The sequence below is a fragment of the Homo sapiens genome, chromosome 3, assembly GCF_000001405.40.
Source record: "Homo sapiens chromosome 3, GRCh38.p14 Primary Assembly".
Classification (NCBI taxonomy): domain Eukaryota; kingdom Metazoa; phylum Chordata; class Mammalia; order Primates; family Hominidae; genus Homo; species Homo sapiens.
This window is the reverse complement of record NC_000003.12, coordinates 9,751,501-9,772,597: the sequence shown is the minus strand read 5'-3', so window position 1 is coordinate 9,772,597 and position 21,097 is coordinate 9,751,501. Positions and strand designations below refer to the sequence as shown.

Below are 21,097 nucleotides of genomic sequence, written 5' to 3'. Positions count from 1 at the left end.
ACTGTGTTTAATTGGAAAGCTGGGGCTGCCTCACTCCATGTTTCCTGCCAACTAGAAGTTCACTCTGGAGAGAAAAAGAGGCCAACGTGTGAAGAAAAATCAAGACAAGGAGAGAGGAGGGAAGACAGAGAAAGCAAATCCTATGAGTACTACATCTCCAGTTCCAGTCTCCAAGCCCCTAATCTCTGGTGTTTTTCCTGCAATCTTGTGCCAGCTATTGTGAACTATAGATTCCTCTTGGATGAAGCTGGTTTAGGTTGGCATTCTGTCACTTGGGAAGCGAAAGAATCTCATCAGTTAGTCTGTGTGTGTTTTCAATACATTATGGAATTTTCCTGCAATGACCATGTATCACTTGTTCAATAGAAATACTAAGAAAGTAAAGATAATGTGTTTGTTAAAGAAAAGAAAACACGAGGCCTCTCAGAAATGCTCAAAAGCAGGAAAAATGTAAAGCACACCATAGAAGCTGTACAAGTCAGCTGGGCGCGGTAGCTCATGCCTGTAATTCCAGCACTTTGGGAGGCTGAGGCAGGTGGATCACCTGAGGTCAGGAGTTCGAGACCAGCCTGACCAACATGGTGAAACCCCCATCTCTACTAAAAATACAAAAATTAGTTGGGCGTGTTGGTTCACGCCTGTAGTCCCAGATACTTGGGAGGCTGAGGCAGGAGAATTGCTTGAACCCAGGAGGCGGAGGTTGCAGTGAGGCGAGATGGCACCATTGCACTCCAGCCTGGGCAACAGAGGGAGACTGTCTCAAAAAAAAAAAAAAAAAAAAAAAAAAGAAGTTGTACAAGTCCTCGAAAGGACAGAGGTCATCTTATCACCCAGGGGGTGTTGTCATCAAGATGAACAGGAATTTGTGGTAAAAGAACCCCTAGCTCAGTGGGTGTGCTTGGTGGGTATAGGGGAGAGTGGGGGCTCAGCCCTGAGCAGGAAATGTATTTTTCCATGAACTAAGGAGTCTGAGATACTGAGATTTGGAAGATGGATCCCTTAACCCCTCATCCCTGGCCAAATCAAGTCCTCTCTCTGAGTCTCAGTTTACACTGAGTCTAGCTCTCATGTTTTGAATAGTGTTCTAGGCACTTCATATCATTATATCATAGAATTCTCAGAACTCTGAGTCAATCTTCAATATTCCCATGTTCCCGAGTAAGAAACTGAGGTTCGGAGAGGTAAAGCATGACCAGGATCAGTTAGACTCCAAAGCCTTTCCAGGAACCTCAGCTATCTTCCTCTCTCATCTGTAAGATGGGCATAATAAATTGGCCAGGTGCAGTGGCTCATGCCTGTAATTCCAGAACCTTGGGAAGCTGATTGGGGAGGATTGCTTGAGCCCAGGAGTTTGAGACCAGCCTGGGCAATATAGTGAGATCCCCATCTCTACAAAAAATAAAAAAGCCAGGTGTGGTGGCACGCACCTGTAGTCCCATCTACATGGGAGGCTGAGGTAGGAAGATGACTTGAGCCCAGGAGTTTGAGGCTGCAGTGGGCCGTGATCATGCCATTGCACTCCAGCCTGGGTGACAGAGCAAGACCCTGTCTTAAAAAAAAAAGAAAAAGAAAAAAAGAAGAAGAGAAAGAAAGAAAAAAGAAAGAAAGAAAGAGAAAAAGGAAATGAGCTGGGCATAAGCACTGTTCTCTCCCCATCACCAGCTGGAACATGCAAGAATTCAGGAGTAGGGAGTGGCACTTGGAGGCCCTTGGAGGTGGAGTGGGGTCCCAAGCAACGTGCCTCCTCCGGCTGCCCCCAGTTCAGCCCCATCCCCAATTCCTGCGAGTTGCTCCCCCCGCCCCCTCTTTCCACTCGGCACCAAATTTCTTCCCAAGGAAGGCCTTGAGCAAACCGACCTTTGGCCTCTTGCCTGCCGTCCTAGTTGCAGGCTCTCTCCCCTAACCTGGACCCCAGCCATCAAACTCTGGAGCCCCGCCAGTCACGTGACACCTCGGTCCTTTTTGGCCTGTTTCCTTCAGGATCCCGATTTAACTTCCTCCTCCCCAATTCCCTCTGCCCCCAATACCTCTAGGCACCACCACCCGCTCTGAGGAGCAAGTGTCTGGGGCTGAAGCCTCAGCTCCATCTTGCAGAGGAACCGGGGCCTCAGTCTTCCCACCTGTCAAGTGGGGCCCACACCCTGCGACCACCTCCACTCTCTTCATTGCCTAGTCTTGCCCGGTCCTTCCCCACTCCCTCACTCCCCCATCCCCCACCAGACTCCCGTGCAGTTCCAGGGCCTGTTTCCCTTCAGGGCACGGAGAAGGGAGACAGAGCCCTAAGGGAGGTCGCAGAACTGGTCTGAAAGAAAATCCACCAGGCCACAGGGTGAGTTTGGCCGGCCTCTAGCTTCAGACAGACGGGGTTCGAATCCTGCTTTGCTTCCGACCACCCGCTGATTTGAAAATCATCTCTCCGGGCCTCAGTTGTCCCCTCTGTGAAATGGACCCCGCTTAAGACCAAGGGCGGGAAGCGTCCAGCAGGAGATCTCTGACCAGAAGCAGGGAGATGGCCTCCACCCGTGCCCCTTCCCCAGCCTTGGAGCGGTGCCTCGCCTCCCAATCCCGGGTCCCTCCGCCGCAGGCTCCACCTCCACTGACATCAGAGCCGCAGGCGGGCGGAGAGAGCCGCCGAGCCGAGCCGAGCCCCAGCTCCAGCAAGAGCGCGGGCGGGTGGCCCAGGCACGCAGCGGTGAGGACCGCGGCCACAGCTCGGCGCCAACCACCGCGGGCCTCCCAGCCAGCCCCGCGGCGGGGCAGCCGCAGGTACAGCCGGGCCCCCCATCCCTGCACCCCTGGGCGCTGCGTGGGGGCGGTGGGAGCCCCTAGCCTCTGGGTATCCTTTCCCAAGGAGTGGCCACTGGGCACTCTCCCGGGCGGGCTGGACCCTGAGGGGCAGGGCTGGGCCTTTCTCCACCTCTGTCCCAGGCCCAGCAGGTGCCAGGCGGGCCTATGGGACACTGAGTGGGTAATAGAGAAGGGGGCCTGTGTGAGCGCCTTCAGCTGGGCCTGACTGGAAGGGCGTGGGCATTTGGAGGTATCCATGGGGTGGGGGGGCTTGCGGAGTGTACTGTCTTAGGACAGGCGTGTGGGTCAGACATGGGTGGAGGATCTGGGAATCTGTGTGTTTTTTGTTCCAGAGGGGTGTCCACGTGTTTTGTGTGCTGGTATTTGGCTCTCAGGGTCTTAAGTCAGAGTTAGGAGGGGGTGTACAATTGTGTACTGAGGATGTTTGGAGTTAGGTGTGTAAGGACTTGGGGTTTGGTTTGGAATACAGGAGCTTCCAGGGGATGGGGTAGAGGAGCTGGAGGGTGTAGGGTACGTCTGGTATATGAGGGTGTGTGTGTGTGTGTCTGGGTGTCATCTTGTGTGGGTGCGGGTGGATGTGTGTTTTGGGGTGTAAGAGGGAGCTGGGTGAGGGATGTTTGGATGGACAGGCAGGTGTTCGGGTGCAGGGCTGTCTGGGGCACTGTGTGGTGTGGACATGTGTGCTGATGTCTGGGAGTACATGTATGATCAGGTGTCACGGGATGTGGATACAAGGCGTACTGGATCTGGGAGGCAGGTGTTTGAGTTCAGGGCTGTGGAGGGGGCTTGGTGTGGCATGTCTGCTACAGGGATGTGTGTGGATCTGTGAGGGTTGTATTTGGTAGGCCTCCATGTGGGTTTCAGACTCTGCCTCTAGAGCTTACACTCGAGTCTCCTTTCCTAGAAGATTCTGCCCCTGGATGGGTGGGCAGGGTCCCCTGGGAAAAAGGTCCTGTTCCAGGAGTGGAATCTCACACCAGAGGCCCTAGTCAGGGCACCTTCTCCTCATTCTCCCTTAGAGAAAAAGAGAGAAGGAAAGTGCTCTCCCTGAGGTCACAAAGCATGCTGGGCTCTGTTTTGGCCTCATCTGTGGATGGGTTGGGAGGCTGTGTTCTCTGAATGGGGCCCATTCTGGCTTCATATTGGAAGTACCAGCCAAGGCCATTCGATGGCCTTTGCCCTCAGCAAGCTTAGCTGGGGGCCCCAGGCCAGGTGTCATTAGGGCCTCTGGAGCCAGCCTCTACCTAACTCCAACCTCAGTCTCCCCATTCTTCATCTGATAAATGGGAGAGAACTCCCACCCTCTCCTGCTGGATGAGACAGACCTCAGCAGAGGAAGGGCCAGGCTGGATAGGGTTAGATGGGGCCAGGAAGGGACAGAGTGAGCAGGACCATTTCTCATGCTCCCGGGACCCAGATGGGGAGTCAGGAGGGAGAGGTCTGGGGAGCTCCAGCTGTGGCTGTTGTTGCTGTGGTAACAGTGCAGAAAGAGCTATTTAAAAATGTGGCTGAGATGTTGCTGGAAGCCCAGGCTGCTGGAAACCTGATTTCGGAGAGGCCGGGGAGTCGGGGGAAGGAGGAGGGAAAGGAGACACCCCAGCAATCCCCAGGGTGGGGCGGGGACATCACTGGTTCTGGGGACAGGGGGATCCTCCAGGCTTCTACCAGCTGCTCTGGGGGTTTATCTGTTGTACTGCCAGAAGTCAGGGTTTCCCTAGGTGCTTGGATTTGGATAGGGGGAAAACTGGGAAGAGAACTAGAATAAATGAATGAATGAATGCATGACTTTGTTAAATAAAGAATTTTGCTGCCACTGTGAAAGGTTTTTCTCTAGGCATGAGAATTTGCTGAATGTTGAATAAACAAATGAATGTTTGTTGAATGATTTTGTCAAATGGATGAATCAAGGATGAATAAATGCAGGTTGAATGACTGAATGGGGCCTGCAGTAAATTCCCAGACAGAGGGCTGGGCTCTGCTGAGTCTCCTCCTTCCATTCTCCTTACAGGAGCCCTGGCTGTGGTCGGGGGGCAGTGGGCCATGCTGGGGGCAGTGGAAGGCCCCAGGTGGAAGCAGGCGGAGGACATTAGAGACATCTACGACTTCCGAGATGTTCTGGGCACGTGAGTCCAGGGCAGGATTGGGTGCTGGATGGCTGAGGGAGGCTGAGTCCAGGGTGGGGCTTCCTCTGGTCAATTAATGCTTCCTGTTTCCCACAGCCCAGGCCCTGTGGCAGCACTATCTAGGGCCTAAACTGTCCCCAGCTTTTCACTTCTGGATGACAGTGGGTGGGACACGGGCTGCTCTCCCAATAGCCCTGGGTTCTTGAAGAGAAAGAAGTCGAGAGAATGAAGGTGCCAGTCAGTCCATTTAACTTGCTGCCAAGAGCTAAGTGTTCTAGCCTAGGTTTGGGAACTGAGGCTGGAGATGGCTCTGTTCTTGGTGCTGGGAATGCAGAAATAACTCAAACCTGGTCTCTGCCCTTCAAGTTGATCCCAGACATGTGCAAGAGACAGACCTACAGAAAATGACAACAGGGTGTGTGCTGTGCTCCAATTAAGGTTGGGATTGAGGGCTTTGTGGAGCCCAGAGAGAGCTGTGCCTTCTGCCTGGGGGAAAACTTCCTGGAGAATGGGGCATTAGAGCTGGGGACTGAAGGATGGGTAGGTGTGCACTTGTCAGAGAGGAAGAAGGACATTCCAGGCAGAAGGAATAGCATAAACAAAGGCTTAGAGGCATGGTTCTATGTGGAGAGAGGTAGAGTGTGATGGAGCTTAAAATCACAGGCTGGGGGGAGAGTGGAAAAAGGGGCTGGAGATGAAAGTGGGACAGTTTGTGTAGGGTTTTGGAAGCCAGGCCAGGGAGGCTGGATATTGTCCCATAGGCCACCGGGAGACACTTAAGACTTTTTGGCAGGTGTGCAATTCAGGATAGTCACTCTGGCCACAGCTTGGAGGGTAAATTGGAGAGGGACAAGACTGGAAACCAGTGATGAGGTTACTACAGTAACTAATTATCCCTGAGGATTGAAATTTCACCACGAGAGATGCTTTTCTTTGACTTATGACTTCTTATTCTCCCAGAGAAAGCAAACAGATGTGGAAAGAATACCCTAGCAAATCCTCTTTAATCAGTTAACTTTAGTTAAATGAGTTTATTTGTTCCTTTTTAAGAACCTGTTCTAAAACACTGCTTCTTAAAGTTCAATGAGCATACAAATCACCTGAGGATTTTGTTAAACTGCAGATTGATTTAGTAAATCTGGGGCAGGGCCTAAAGTTTTGCATTTCTTTTTTTTTTCTTTTTTTTGACCCAGGATCCAAAGCAGTAGAGATTTTGCATTTCTAAAAAAGTTCCCGGGTGATGCTGATGGTTCTTTAAGGTTCTAAAGGGTGTTAAATTAGCCATGACTCGAATTAGCAGAAAAAGGGATGAACCAACTGTACACATAATCCAAAAGCCCAGGGGTAGACCTCAGGCATGGCTGGATCCAGAGGGCCACATAATGTTATCAGGAAATATATTTGGCCATTTCTCAGGTTGGACTTCCTTTGTGTTAATTTCATTCCCAAGCAGGCTCTCCCCAGGTGGTGGCAAAGATGATCGCCATTAGCTCCAGGCTTACATCCTACCAGCTCAACAGGAGACTCATTCTCAAAGTGCTAGTAAGCTGGCTTGCATCACATGACCAATTACTGTGGCCAGGGGAGAGACTACTTTGACTGGCCAGGCCTGGGTCATGTGACCATCTCTGGAGCCAGGGGATGGATGAGTGACTAGGGGAGGGTCATCCACGTCCTTGGTCCAGCAGTGGTCACAGAACCCATAGGGAATGGAGGAGAGGCTGGAGGGAAGCTGGGGTTCCAGTTCTTCACCTTGTGAATCCCCTCTCCCGATAGGGGGGCCTTCTCGGAGGTGATCCTGGCAGAAGATAAGAGGACGCAGAAGCTGGTGGCCATCAAATGCATTGCCAAGGAGGCCCTGGAGGGCAAGGAAGGCAGCATGGAGAATGAGATTGCTGTCCTGCACAAGTGCGTGGGCCACAGCCTTTCCCTGCCCCAAGCTGACCCTGCCTTGGCCCTCCCATCCTCCTCCTTTCCTGCTTTGGACAAATCATTTAAACTCTCTAAGCCTTAAATTGCCCCTTTATAAAATGGGGATCACAATTTCCACTTGGCAGGGTTGTGGGGAACATCAGAAGTCCTTTATTTCAAGTGCCTGGCCTAACATGACAGATGTGATGGAGGTGCCAGTGCTTAGTCACAGGGGTTTAACTGTTCAATCAGGTGTAAAGATCCATCCTGAACATGGCTTGGACCCACATATCTCAGTTGGTGTTGTCTCTGGACCTACCTCAAGTTCCCCTCACATATTAAAACCACTCAGCAAGTTTAAAAATGACTGTCTGCTGACCCCCAGACTAAATCCACAACCAACTGGTCTATGAATTGCTCATGCTGATATGAAACCTCCTGTCCTCACTGGAAAACTTACAGAGAATCACTTCCAATCTCTCCCCTGAGCTTCCAACCACCCTGGGCAGATAATTTTTTTTTTTTTTTTGAGATGGAGTCTCACTCTGTTGCCCCGGCTGGAGTGCAGTGACGCAATCTTGGCTCACTGCAACCTCTGCCTCTTGGGTTCAAGCAATTCTCTTGCTTCAGCCTCCCTAGTAGCTGGGATTACAGGCACCTGCCACCACGCCCGGCTAATTTTTGTATTTTTAGTAGAGATGGGGTTTCGCCATGTTGGCCAGGCTGGTCTCGAACTCCTGACCTCAGGTGATCCACCCGCCTCGGCCTCCCAAAGTGCTAGGCATGAGCCACCACACCCAACTCCTGGCAGAGCATTTCTAATAAGACCCAGAGAGGACAGGGATTTGTATACAGTCACATGGCAAGTTTGTGGCAGAGCTGAGCCTTCCTCATCATCAAGATCAATTATCGCCTGACCAACACGGAGAAACCCTGTCTCTACTAAAAATACAAAATTAGCCAGGCGTGGTGGCACATGCCTGTAATCCCAGCTACTTGGGAGGCTGAGGCAGGAGAATTGCTTAAACCCGAGAGGTGGAGGTTGCGGTGAGCCGAGATCACACCGTGCATTACACTCCAGCCTAGGCAACAAGAGCAAAACTCCATCTCAAAAAAAAAAAAAAAAACAAAAAAAAAACAAAAACGCCAGGCGCAGTGGCTCACGCCTGTAATCCCAGCACTTTGAGAGGCTGAAGTGGGCAGATCACCTGAGGTGGGGAGTTCCAAACCAGCCTGACCAACATGGAGAAACTCCGTCTCTACTAAAAATACAAAATTAGCTGGACATGGTGGCGCATGCCTGTAATCCCAGCTACTTGAGAGGCTGAGAAAGAAGAATCACTTGAACCCAGGAGGCAGAAATTGTGATGAGCCAAGATCATGCCATTGCACTCCAGCCTGGGCAACACTCCAGCCTGAGCAACAAGAGTAAAACTCCGTCTCAAAAAAAGAAAAAAAAAATCAATTACCATTATTGTTTCACTTATGAGTATTTACCGTGTGCCAGGCACTGTGCCAAGCACCTTACCTGCATTATCTCACATGATCCTCACTCCAACTCTTTGAGGGAAGTACTACCATTGGCTTCATTTTATAGATGAAGAAACTGAGGTTCAGAGAGGTTACATTAAATCTAGCACCTACCCTGTACCAGGTGCTGGAGGAACAGTGGCAAGCAAGACAAAGCCTCTGGATTCGGGGAGCTTATGTCTGGTGGGGGAGGCTGACAAACATGTAAACACAGAAAACTATATATATATATTTTTTTTGAGATGGAGTTTTGCTCTTGTTGCCCAGGCTGGAGTGTAATGGCATGATCTCGACTCACTGCAACCTCCGTTTCCCAGGTTTAAGCAATTCTCCTGCCTCAGCCTCACAGATAGCTGGGATTACAGGCATGTGCCACCATGCCTGGCTAATTTTTGTATTTTTAGTAGAGATGGGTTTTCGCCATGTTGGCCAGGCTGGTCTCGAACTCCTGACCTCAAGTGATCCGCCTGCCTTGGCCTCCCAAAGTGCTGGGATTACAGGTGTGAGTCTCTGTGCCTAGCCAGAAAACTCTTAAGAGGTATGTATCAGGCTGGGTGCAGTGGCTCACTGGTGAAAAGATCTGCACCCAAATAGCATGTGACGGGCAGGATTTGGACCCAGGTCTGTGTATGCCAGAGCCCAGTGTTTATCCCTCTGCTCTCTCACCTTCCAAAAAATGGTAATAAACCATGGTAAGCTAGCTTTTCCCTTTGGGGACGAGATCCTTGGTTTGTCCTACCCAGGTATGTAGGCAGTGGTCGGGGGTTGGGGGTGGCTGAGCTGTCCTGAGCTCTAAACCGCTGTTTTTTTTTTTTTTTTTTTGAGACAGGGTCTTACTCTGTTGCCCAGGCTGGAGTGCAGTGGCTAGTCACAGGTGCAATCATAACAGACTGCAGCTTTGAACTGCTGGGGCCAAGTGATCCTCCTGCCTCAGCCTCCCAAGTTCCCAAGTAGCTTGGACTACAGGTGCACACCGCCATGCCTGGCTAAACCACCTCATTTCTCCTTTCAGGATCAAGCACCCCAACATTGTAGCCCTGGATGACATCTATGAGAGTGGGGGCCACCTCTACCTCATCATGCAGCTGTGAGTGGCCCAACCTCTGCCCTGCCCCCACACCTCTCCCAGCTGTCCCAACCCTCTTTGCCAGACTGCCCTATCCCCTGCTGCAGGGTGTCGGGTGGGGAGCTCTTTGACCGTATTGTGGAAAAAGGCTTCTACACGGAGCGGGACGCCAGCCGCCTCATCTTCCAGGTGCTGGATGCTGTGAAATACCTGCATGACCTGGGCATTGTACACCGGGATCTCAAGGTGGGGCTCAAGGGGGTGTGGTGAGCTAGGGTACCCAGGGGTGGGGCCTTTGCAAACCCCAAACTGTCTGACCTTGGGCAACTTTCACCCCCTCACTGAGCCTTGGATTTCCATCTACAAAGTGGATCTTGTAACCTTTAAACTGCCTCCTCCCATTCTAGTCCAGATACTCAAAGGAACACGAGTGAATTGTGTGGCATTTTATCCAAACAACATTTTGTCTTTTTCTGATTAAAAAAAAAAAAATCTGGCCAGACAGGATGGCTCACGCCTGTAATCCCAGCACTTTAGGAGGCAGAGACGGGTGGATCACCTGAGGTCAGTTCGAGACCAGCTTGGCAAAACCCTGTCTCTACCAAAAATACAAAAATTAGCCCGGCGTGGTGGCAGATGCCTGTAATCCCAGCTACTAGGGAGGCTGAGGCAGGCGAATCACTTGGACCCGGGAGGCAGAGGTTGCAGCAAGCTGAGATTGTGCCATTGCACGCCAGCCTGGGCGACAGAGCGAGCCTGGACGACAGAGCGAGACTCCATGTCAAAAAAAATAAAATAAAAACAAAAAATCCTATTCCCCTTCTGTAGAAAACTTGGATGGGACAGCAAAACATAAAGAAAAAAGCCAGAAATCCCCGAAATCCTACTCCTCGGAAATAGCGACGGGGCTCACATTTAGCAGTACATCTCAATCCGTTCTAGGAGAAGGGCACTTGGGGTGTGACATGCCTGGTTTTGAATTCTGGCTCTGCTACTGCCTAACTGTGGGTTCTTGGGTGAGTCACTTTGCCTCCAAAGGCATCAGTTTCCTCATCTGTTAGGTGAGATTATACAGACTGGCCTAGCAGGGAAGCAGTGAGGATGGCATTAAATCAAGCACTAATCCAGGGTCTGGCATAAAATAGGCATTCAAACATTCCTTTAGGGCTTTACAGTGCACACCTGAGGTTTAGAGACAGTTCCCCCCCACACCCTCTTGAGCCTTGTCCTTCCTGGAATTTTTGGCCTTCTTGAGAGCTTCCTTGATTTTCTTATGACAGCCATGAAGCCACAGTGGCTTTTGGGGATCCATTATTTCTCAGAAGGTGCTTGGAGCGGCAGAAGGTTCTACCAGCCTCTAACCATCTCTGATTGCCCCTTCTCTTCCCTCCTGCCCTTCAAGCCAGAGAATCTGCTGTACTACAGCCTGGATGAAGACTCCAAAATCATGATCTCCGACTTTGGCCTCTCCAAGATGGAGGACCCGGGCAGTGTGCTCTCCACCGCCTGTGGAACTCCGGGATACGTGGGTGCGGAGGGCCCTGGGCTGGGGCTGTGATGGTGGGGGGAACCAGGAGTTGAAGGGCAGAGATTTGTCACCACCACGTCCTCTTCCCTCCACAGCCCCTGAAGTCCTGGCCCAGAAGCCCTACAGCAAGGCTGTGGATTGCTGGTCCATAGGTGTCATCGCCTACATCTTGTAAGTGGGGCTTGGCCATGGTAGGCTGTGGCTCCAGAGTTGTCCTCTCGCCTACTTTCCTCTCTTCCTTCCTCTGCTCTCCCTCTGCCCTCCCTTCCTTCCCTCCCTCCCTTCCTTCCACCAATCAATTACCAGTATTACTTCATTCAATAGATACTATGTTTCAAGCACTGTGCCAAGCAAGCACTGGGGTAAATTTAGCACAGCACAAACCAGACAAAGTGCCTGCCCTCAGGGAGCTGACTTTCTTTCTAGTAGGGAAGACAGACAATCAACAAGTAAATAAATCTACAAACTGACGTCAGGTGATAAAAATAAATACTGTGGAGAAAAACCAAGCAGGAATAGGGAGACGGGGTGATGCCATTTCAGTAGGGAGGTCAGGGAAGGGCTCGCTGTGGAGGTGATGACCGAGTGGTGAGGGAGCCAGACATTGGAGGTGTGGGGAAAGAGTGGCATAGGCAGAAGCAATGGCAAGTGCAAAGGCCCTGAGGAGGGCAAGATGGCGGCACATACAAGGAACAGAAAGGATAATGTAGCTAGAACAGGAGTGAGCAGGCAGGGCTGGTAGAGTTTATAAAGGGGGAACTCCTTCCATGGCTCCTGCCTGACCCCTGAGACTGCCCCAGTGCTCCACCCCGGAGCCAACGGCACCCGAAAGTGGAAATGAGGATGAGTTTCTCCCTGCCCAGGCTCTGCGGTTACCCTCCCTTCTATGACGAGAATGATGCCAAACTCTTTGAACAGATTTTGAAGGCCGAGTACGAGTTTGACTCTCCTTACTGGGACGACATCTCTGACTCTGGTATTTGGGGCTTTGCTTTTTTCCCCTGGGCCCTGCCTCTGGTTCCTCCCTCACCTGCTTTGGGGGCGGTCTCCCTCCTGCCTTCCTTCTGTCGGATTTTCCAGCACCACACAAAGAGCTGTCTTCGAGACCAGACACCCTACCCCTTCTTCCTTCTGCTTGGGTACTTCCTTCTGCTTGGCTCCCAGAGTGAGAAACTAGGCATTCATTTGTTCAATCTTCAAACATAGTCTATTTGAAAATACCTCTCCCCTATTGACACCCTAATGTCTAAAACACCACCATAAACATTTTCATCCTCCTTTTGTGCCCCCTATTAAGAAGCAAACCTGTGAAGCTACTATCGTTTATCATCAGTGTGAATGCACTGAGATTAGTCAAGAACAACTTTTTTTTTTTTTTCTTTCTTTTTTGAGACGCAGTCTCGCTCTGTTGCCCAGGCTGGAGTGCAGTGGCACAATCTCGGCTCACTGCAACCTCTGTCTCCCGGGTTCGAGCAATTCTCTGCCTCAGCCTCCCAAGTAGCTGGGATTACAGGCGCCCACCACCATGCCCGGCTAATTTTTTTTGTATTTTTAGTAGAAACAAGGTTTCACCATCTTGGCCAGGCTGGTCTTGAACTCCTGACCTCGTGATCCACCTGCATTGGCCTCCCAAAGTGCTGGGATTACAGACATGAGCCACTGTGCCCGGCCATATGTTTTTCTTAAGAGAGAAAGGAAAGAGCTGGAAGGCACGGGGTGGGAGGGCCTGAAGAAGAGCATAGGTTGGGTGGGGTGGGGCATGGACTGATTTGGCCTCTTTGTCTTGATGCCAGGCCAGACCTGAGGGAGTGGGTATGCTCTTGGGGAGTACACAGGCAGTACCATGCTGTCATTATCTTTGCTTTTGTCTTGGGGGTTTAGCCAAAGATTTCATCCGGCACTTGATGGAGAAGGACCCAGAGAAAAGATTCACCTGTGAGCAGGCCTTGCAGCACCCATGGTGAGAATTCACACAACCTGTGAGCTGGGGCGGGATTTGGGGCCCTCAGGTCTGCTTCTGCCCTCATAGGCAACCCACCACATAACCCCATCCTAGGATTGCAGGAGATACAGCTCTAGATAAGAATATCCACCAGTCGGTGAGTGAGCAGATCAAGAAGAACTTTGCCAAGAGCAAGTGGAAGGTGAGTCCATATCCCTAGTTCTGGTCCCAGCCTCCCCAGGACTCCTCCCCATCCCTACCCAGGCTCAGCTTGCACAGCACCTGGCATCACACTGGGCACACAGTAACTGCTTAGGGATCCTTACTGAAGGACTTCATTCATTCACTCTTTCATTCAACAAACACTCCCAACACCTTCTCTATTCCAGAGAGGGTCCCTCACCTCCAAGTCTAGAGGAAGAAGTCTGTAATTCTTCAGGAGGCATCTGATCCAGCCTATGGGGTCCGAGAAAGGTCATAAAAGTGGTGATGACCTGACAGAGCTGTCAGTTAAGTAGGAATTAGTGAGGCATAGCGGAATAATGTCTATAGCCATTCCGGGAAGTGCAAGTGCTAAGCCTGGCCAGACTGGAGGGGCTGAGGGGACTGAGAGGCAGGAGCCCAATTTAGAGAAGCAGGTAAGGGGCCAGGCCTCTTAGGGCCTCATATGCCACAGAGGAGCACCAACTTGATCCTGAGGGCACTGAGGAGCCCCAGAAGAATCTTAGGCAAGTATTTGCTGCATAGAAAGGGCTCTCAGGGCCAGGCATGGTGGCTCACGCCTGTAATCCCAGCACTTTGGGAGGCCGAGGTGGTTGGATCACCTGAGGTCAGGAGTTCAAGACCATCCTGGCCAACATGGCAAAACCCTGTCTCTACTAAAAATAAAAGAATTAGCCACACATGGTGGTGCGTGCCTGTAATCCCAGCTACTTGGGAAGCTGAGGCAGGAGAATTACTTGAACCTCGGAGATGGGGGTTGCAGTGAGCTGAGATCGCGCCACTGCACTCCAGCCTGGGCAACAAAGTGAGACTCCACCTCAAAAAAAAAAGAAAGAGCTCTCAGGATGCAGAGAATGGCATGGAGTAAAGACTGGGTGACGCATTAGGAGGCTGTGGCAGAGATACAGGCAGGAGATGGTAAGGGTTTGGAACCACAGTAGCAGCAACAGGGGGCAGAGAACAGTGGTTGATCCAGGAGTCATTTAGGAGGTGAAACTGACAAGACATGACGATGCAATGGATGTTGGGGGAAAGAGATGTCAAGGGCTGGCCCAAGACTGTGGCTGGGAACAGAATGGATGGTGGTGGTACCATGACTGAGATGGTTATCACAGGGACAGAAACATGTTTTGGGGGGATGGTTTTAGTTTTAGACATGGTGAATTTGAGGGGTGTGTGGGACACCTAGGTGGAGATATTGAATAGAGACACACCTGAGCAAGTTACTTCAGCTTTCTGTGCCTCAGTTTCCTCCTTTGAAAATGATAATAGTACCTACCTCAAAGACTTTCATGAAGATTAAATGAATTACTACGTAAAGTGCTTAGAACAGTGCCTGACATACAGTGCTATAGTGTTTGCTATTACATATTAATATGAATTATAGTTATGTTTCTATTTATATATATAGATACACATACATCTAACATATGTGCGTGTGTGTGTGTAAATATATAATAAAGCCTTGTAGAGGTTTTTGGGGGGCTTTAGGGGAATTAATAAAATAACTCCTGAATGAAAATAACAGAACAATTGCAAGAATCCCACTGCGCCCCTGCCCCATGACTTGACTCTCTCAAAAGTCCTTTCTCCCCTCTCCCTTCAATGCCTTCAATGCCAGCAAGCCTTCAATGCCACGGCTGTGGTGCGGCACATGAGGAAACTGCAGCTGGGCACCAGCCAGGAGGGGCAGGGGCAGACGGCGAGCCATGGGGAGCTGCTGACACCAGTGGCTGGGGGTGAGGAGCGGGCTCTGCAGAAGGGCATGGGTGGTCCACAAAGGTGCACCCGGGCTGGAGTGGAGGGCCTGCCCCTGCGGCCACCTCTGTTCTGTCTTCCCATGCAGGGCCGGCAGCTGGCTGTTGCTGTCGAGACTGCTGCGTGGAGCCGGGCACAGAACTGTCCCCCACACTGCCCCACCAGCTCTAGGGCCCTGGACCTCGGGTCATGATCCTCTGCGTGGGAGGGCTTGGGGGCAGCCTGCTCCCCTTCCCTCCCTGAACCGGGAGTTTCTCTGCCCTGTCCCCTCCTCACCTGCTTCCCTACCACTCCTCACTGCATTTTCCATACAAATGTTTCTATTTTATTGTTCCTTCTTGTAATAAAGGGAAGATAAAACCATCCTTAGCGCTGTCTCCCTCAATATCCCCCACCCCATCTTGTTGTGCAAACTGACTGCTTGATTTGGGGGTGCCTGGCCTTTGAGGTAGTCACAGGGAGGCCCCTCCCCAACATGAGACTGGGTGGGGATGGGGAGAGAGAAGTGGGGAATGGAGGGGAAGGTGCTTGGGGAATTTCTTTGTCCAGGGTGCCCCATCTAGCCTTCCGGCCCTTTGGAACCCTTTCTGCGCTTTGCTGGTGGCTCCTGAGCATGGCGGGATTGGCGCAGGTCGGCACTGAACAGCACCTGTAGGAGGGTGGAGTCTGTGTGGGGAGGAGGGTACACTGGGGTCAGGGCTGGTGAGACTAGTGACAGTGTTGGGAGGTGGAAGAGTCCTTGGGGAACAGGGCCGAAGGCAATGAGAATCCACTGGGGTTGGGACAGGGGTGGCTGGAGAGTCCTTTAGGGCCACCTGGGGCGGTGGTGGAAGAGTCCACTGGGTCTGGGCTGGAGGAGAGGAAACCTAGGGAGGACACCTAGGTACACTCACCGCTTGGGCCCAGCCAGCATAAGGTCCCCACAGGCTCCGGAAAAAGTTTCCTAAATCAGAAGTGATGAGACTAAGTTATCTGACCCCTTCTGTGACCCATCAACAGAAGTAGGGTCTGAGGGAGAGGTGACTAAGAGAGAGAGAAGTTTCTACCATCCCAGCCCACTGCCAGCCCCTGCAGCCCACTTTCCTCACCCAGTTCCTTGTTGGTCTGGGGGCTCGGTCCCTTCGCCTGGGACGTGGTAGGGTGCCAGCTGTAGTCACGTTGGGCAATGTGCCACATATGGACATCCACGGGCACAGCCTGGGGCTTGTCTAGGGCCATCAGGCAGATGCAGTCAGCCACCTTTGACAGACACAGAATGAGCCCTTGTGGAAGAAGGGCAGCATGTGGCCAGCATCTTGCTTATAGCCCCAAAGCCGGCTGCTTTCTCCTTCACTCTGGGGTTACTGTTGTTCTATATTCTCAATCAACAGATACTATCTATGAATACACTTTTTTTTTGTTTGTTTTTGAGATGGAGTCTCGCTCTGTTGCCTAGGCTGGAGTGCACTGGTGCAATCCTGGCTCTCCCAGGTTCAAGCAATTCTCCTACCTCAGCCTCCCAAGTAGCTGGGATTACAGGCATGTGCCACCACGTGTGGCTAATTTTTGTGTTTTTAGTAGAGATGGGGTTTCACCATGTTGGCCAGCCTGGTCTCGAACTCCTGACCTCAAGTGATCTGTCCACCTTGGCCTCCCAAAGTGCTGGGATTACAGGCGTGAGCCACCATGCGCGGCCTATGAATACACTGAAATTGCTGTAATAAGAGGTGCTACTAGCTGAACACCTATGTGGGCCAGGTTATCATAACCTGGGAAGAAGGTATTACCACACCCACTTTACAGACAAGAAAACTGAGGCTTTGAAAGGTGAAGTGACCTGGCCAAAGTCACATGGCTGAGAATAGGCAGAACCAAGATTTAATGTTAGGCTGTAGTCCAAAGCCCATCAAAAAAAAATCTTTAAGCAAAAATTCATTTTTTAAACTACAGAGAAGTATAAAGAAAAAAAAAGGCTGGGTGCAGTGGCTCACGCCTGTAATCCCAGCACTTTGGGAGGCTGAGGCAGGTGGATCTCGAGGTCAGATTGAGACCATCCTGGCCCAACATGGTGAAACCCCATCTCTACTAAAAATACAAAAATTAGCTGGGTGTGGTGGCGCATGCCTGTAATCCCAGCTAATCTGGAGGCTGAGGCAGGAGAATAGCTTGAAGCCGGGAGGCGGAGGTTGCAGTGAGCCGAGATTGCACCACTGCACTCCAGCCTGGCAACAAAGCAAGACTCCACCTCAAAAAAAAAAAAAAAAAGACAAATGCCTAATTTCCAGTCATCTTATTGCCAGTTAACCCTATTGACATCAAGCAAAAAGTTTTGTCAGTACATGTCATTTTACGAAAGGAACAAAATGTGGCCGGGAGCAGTGGCTCATCCCTGTAATTCCAGCACTTTGGGAGGGCAAAGCAGGAACACTGCTTGAGGGCAAGAGTTTAAGACCAGCCTAGGCAACATTGTTAAGAGCCTATTTCTACCAAAACAAACAAACAAACAAAAAACCGAAAAGAAGAAATATCTTCCCATTTGTCTCCCCCAAGGAAACTATTATTTAGTTTCCTGCAATTTCCTTCTGGAAATTGCTGCATATATATAGCAGCATATATGTGTTGCATCTGAACAAATGGTCTTTCTAGAAATTCATTCAAAGGGCTATATCCTTTCTACTCTTTCTGCACTCTGCTTTTTTCTCTCATAAAACATCTACTTATATCCTTTCTCCTTCCTGCTCTGCCTCCGGAAGCCAAGCCTCCACCCAGCTCCCAGGCTTGGCTCATTTCCTGCTCTCCTCTTAGTGTCAGTAGAGAGGGCAGCTCCTACCCCCTGGGGCCTCACCTTGGTGCCCACTCCAGGCAGGATGCAGAGGGCCTTGTGGGCCTCCTCATATGAGGACTCTCGTAGCTGCTGCAGCCAGGCTAGCCCGCCCTGTTCTTCCAGGATGGCTCGGGCACTGGCACTCACGTAACGGGCACGATAGCCCAGGCCCAGCTTCCTGAGATGAGCCTCCACCTCTGGCCCTGCGGGGAGTGAGGAGGAGGGCAAGCATCAGGCATCTTCAAGTTCTTCCTGTCCTTAGGCTAGTAAGTGAGCTCTCTACCTCACAAGAGTGCTTTTCCTAAGTTCCCCTCCTACCTCCCCACCCTCTATGGGATAGTGGACACTTTTATGTGCAAGGGAAAGGGTTAGGCCTGGGTCCTGTCCCTCTACACATGTTTTCTGAGCACCTGCTATGAATTGGCCCCGGAGCCCAAGTCTAGTCCAGGGACTGAGGACTTGCTTCCCTTGAGGAGCTCCCCAACTGAGTTCCTTAACCTTTCCGAAAGAGTGTTCACACTCATGATCTAAAAAAATAACCACAATATAGCAACAGCTTCTATGATCAAGTGCTAGGCAACATGCTTCAGATATATTATCATGCTTACTTTTCCCAAGAACCCCACTGACAGTACTGCTGTTTTCCCATTTTACATGTGGAGAAAATGAGGGCTTAGAAGAGGTTAACTTACTTAAGAAAGGACATGGGGGAGATAAGATCTTGCACCTAGGTCTGGGACACCAAGACCTGTGCTTTTTCTTTTTTTGACACAGGGTCTTGCTCTGTCACCCAGGCTGGAATGCAGTGGCACAATCTCAGTTCACTACAGCCTTGACCTCCTAAGGCTCAAGCGATCCTCCCACCTCAGCCTCCTGAGTAGCTGAGACTACAGGCTTGTGTCACCATGCCTGGCTAATTTTGTTTATTTTTTGTAGAGATGAGGTCTCACTATGTTGCCCAGGCTGGTCTCAAACTCCTGGGCTCAAGCCATCCTCCCACCTTGGGCTCCCAAAAGTGCTGAAATTACCAGCATGAGCTACCCCACCTGGCTAACGCCGTGCTCTTAACCCATTACACTACACTGCCTCATGATTGCTTTATTCACTCCCAAAGCCCTTCTAGATAGAAACTGTTATTCCCATTCTACAAACAAGCTAAGAGAAGCCGGAAGAGGTGAATGACTTTCTTGAGGCCTTATGACTAACTAAGCCAGGAGCTGAGACTCAAGAACAGGTTTCTTTTTTTTTTTGTTGAGACAGAGTCTCACTCTGTCGCCCAGGCTGGAGTGCAGTGGCACGATCTCGGCTCACTGCAAGCTTCGCCTCCCGGGTTCACGCCATTCTCCTGCCTCAGCCTCCCAAGTAGCTGGGACTACAGGCGCCCACCACCACACCCGGCTAATTTTTTTTGTATTTTTAGTAGAGACGGGGTTTCACCGTATTAGGCAGGATGGTCTTGATCTCCTGACCTCGTGATCCACCCGCCTCGGCCTCCCAAAATGCTGGGATTACGGGTGTGAGCCACCACGCCCGGCCAGGTTTTTTTTTTTTTTTTGAGACGGAGTCTCGCCCTGTCGCCCTGTCGCCCAGGCTGGAGTGCAATGGCATGATCTCAGCTCACTGCAACCTCTGCTTCCCAGGTTCAAATGATTCTCCCGCCTCAGCCTCCTGAGTAGCTGGGATTACAGGTACCTGCCACCACGCCCAGCTAATTTTTAGCAGAGAGCGGGTTTCACCAGGTTGGCCAGTCTGGTCTCAAACTCCCGACCTCAGGTGATCCACCTGCCTCAGCCTCCCAAAGTGTTGGGATTACAGGTGTGAGCCACCGTGCCTGACCCAGGTTTCTTTTTGTTTGTTTTGAGATGGAGTCTCGCTCTGTAACCCAGGCTGGAGTGCTGTGGTCTGATCTTGGTTCACTGGAGCCTCCTGCTCCCGGGTTCAAGCAATTCTCCTGCCTCACCCTCCGGAGTAGCTGGGACAGGTGCCTGCCATCACGCCTGACTAATTTTCGTATTTTTAGTAGAGATGGGGTTTCACCATGTTGGCCAGGCTGGTCTTGAACTCCTGACCTCAGATGATCTGCCTGCCTCGACCTCCCAAAGTGTTGGGATTACAGGCGTGAGCCACCACGCCCGGCCAGGAATGGGTTTCTAAGCACCAAAAACATTCTCCTGTTTTGAGGCAGTCTGTCTCTTTGCTATGCAGTTCCCAAGCACTTGTCCTAGCTTGGTTCTCACATCTGCCAATCGATACACTTGCCTCTGTAAAACATTTGCCTTACAGGGCTACTGTGAAGAACACACGTGTTCTTAGATACAAAACTATCCCATTCACTACAATGATACCAGCTTGAATTTTTTTTTTTTTTTTTTTTTTTGAGACAGAGTCTCGCTCTGTTGCCCAGGCTGGAGACGGGGTTTCACTGTGTTAGCCAGGTGTGAGCCACTGCGCCTGGCTGATACCAGCTTGAATTTTACATATACTTCCTGTGTGCCAAACACTGTGCTAGGTGCAGTATGTATATTCCTTTCTTCAACCCTCATGACAACTCCAATAATAGCATAGGTAGGTGCTATTATTATTCTACTTCACAGATGAAGAAACTTTAGTACAGAGATGCTAAATAATGTGCCCAAGTGAGAGTTGGGGTTCAGAACCAGGCATGGGTCTGTCCCCAGAATGCATGCTCTTAACCCCAAACTACTGTACATTGTATACAGATATTTTTCTGATTAGGCATTGAACCCATTGGGCAAAAAGCACAGACCAGTGAGGTGCTGACATTTTAGGGATGCATAGGGAGGATGAGTAACTGGAGTTGATCAGACCAGGCAGGGCGGTTCTGGATAGGGGAAGTGTTTGGGAAGGCAGGAAGCCTTGAGAAGGTAACCAGGGGAGAAATGAACAGATCTTGAAAGCTGATGGAAGGCCTGGGGGCAGGGGACCCACCTACTCACCAGCCAGGGCCTGCAGGCTGGGGAAGCCATGGTAGGTGACATCATCAAGCTGGATGAGCCGAGGTCCAAAAGCCTGGCACAGCCGCTCCACCATGCCAGTGATGCGGGCGATGTTGTTGTTGGAGGAACAGATAAAAGAGAAAAGGCATTCGATGGGGTCTTGTCGCAGCAGTCGCACACCTGGAGACCAGAAATGCAGGGGGTAGGAGAGGTACCTGCTGTTGGGTGTGGCCTCTTCCCACCCACAGGTCAGATCCTAGGTACCAAAACTCCAGGAGGATCCCAGGAGAATGAGAGTCAGCACCGTTAGAGAAAGCAACACCAGACCTCTCATTCCTCATAGCATCTTGTGAGGGCTGAGTTACCATCCCATTCCACAGATAAAGAGGCCACAATGTAAGCTCCATGAGGACTGGCATTTGGGTCTGTTTTGTTCACTGGTGTATCCC

The 21,097-nt window shown here is 51.0% G+C and overlaps 2 protein-coding genes across 33 annotated transcripts in view, besides 1 other annotated feature; one reads left to right on the top strand and one right to left on the bottom strand.

Annotated features, from left to right (window-relative positions):
* The window catches only part of OGG1 (8-oxoguanine DNA glycosylase), a 41,119-nt gene that overhangs the window by 18,473 nt on the left and 1,549 nt on the right, over positions 1-21,097 (bottom strand). For 2 of the 28 annotated variants that reach the window (NM_001434445.1, NM_001434448.1), the window contains exons 3-6: positions 20,649-20,828; positions 17,713-17,894; positions 15,977-16,127; positions 15,782-15,831 (exon numbers count right to left, since the gene is read on the bottom strand). In NM_001434445.1, the coding sequence (NP_001421374.1) occupies positions 15,782-15,831; positions 15,977-16,127; positions 17,713-17,894; positions 20,649-20,828 (563 nt within the window). Of the gene's footprint in view, positions 1-5,947; positions 6,790-13,311; positions 13,412-15,190; positions 15,832-15,976; positions 16,128-17,712; positions 17,895-20,640; positions 20,829-21,097 lie in introns of those variants that run through there. The other 26 variants (XM_017006497.3, XM_017006494.3, NR_148930.2 and 23 more) reach the window with 22 other exon arrangements.
* On the top strand, positions 2,651-15,251 carry CAMK1 (calcium/calmodulin dependent protein kinase I). Of its 5 annotated transcripts, NM_003656.5 has the most exons (12): positions 2,651-2,766; positions 4,817-4,931; positions 6,708-6,839; positions 9,385-9,459; positions 9,546-9,684; positions 10,841-10,967; positions 11,062-11,137; positions 11,830-11,942; positions 12,848-12,926; positions 13,023-13,110; positions 14,752-14,869; positions 14,977-15,251. In NM_003656.5, exons 2-12 carry the CDS (start codon positions 4,849-4,851, stop codon positions 15,057-15,059), a joined length of 1,113 nt encoding a protein of 370 aa, NP_003647.1. In that variant the 5' UTR covers positions 2,651-2,766; positions 4,817-4,848; the 3' UTR covers positions 15,060-15,251. The 5 variants fall into 5 exon arrangements, with proteins under 5 accessions (NP_003647.1, XP_016862843.1, XP_005265573.1 ...); XM_017007354.2 differs by lacking the exon at positions 6,708-6,839; XM_005265516.3 differs by having other exon boundaries at positions 14,752-15,251.
* Positions 2,701-2,880: a silencer, noted in NCBI's record as "silent region_14040". NCBI's record gives its function as "represses an Ori minimal core promoter by ATAC-STARR-seq in GM12878 lymphoblastoid cells {active_cell/tissue: GM12878}" and the evidence as "EXISTENCE:reporter gene assay evidence [ECO:0000049][PMID:35858748]".

Excerpts from the sequence above, each read along its gene's own strand:
- CAMK1 (XM_005265516.3), top strand. The coding sequence starts at position 4,849 with ATGCTGGGGGCAGTGGAAGGCCCCAGGTGGAAGCAGGCGGAGGACATT. Across the intron at positions 6,840-9,384 it reads GAGATTGCTGTCCTGCACAA|GATCAAGCACCCCAACATTG; the intron begins GTGCGTGGGCCA and ends TTCTCCTTTCAG. Across the intron at positions 9,460-9,545 it reads CTCTACCTCATCATGCAGCT|GGTGTCGGGTGGGGAGCTCT; the intron begins GTGAGTGGCCCA and ends CCCCTGCTGCAG.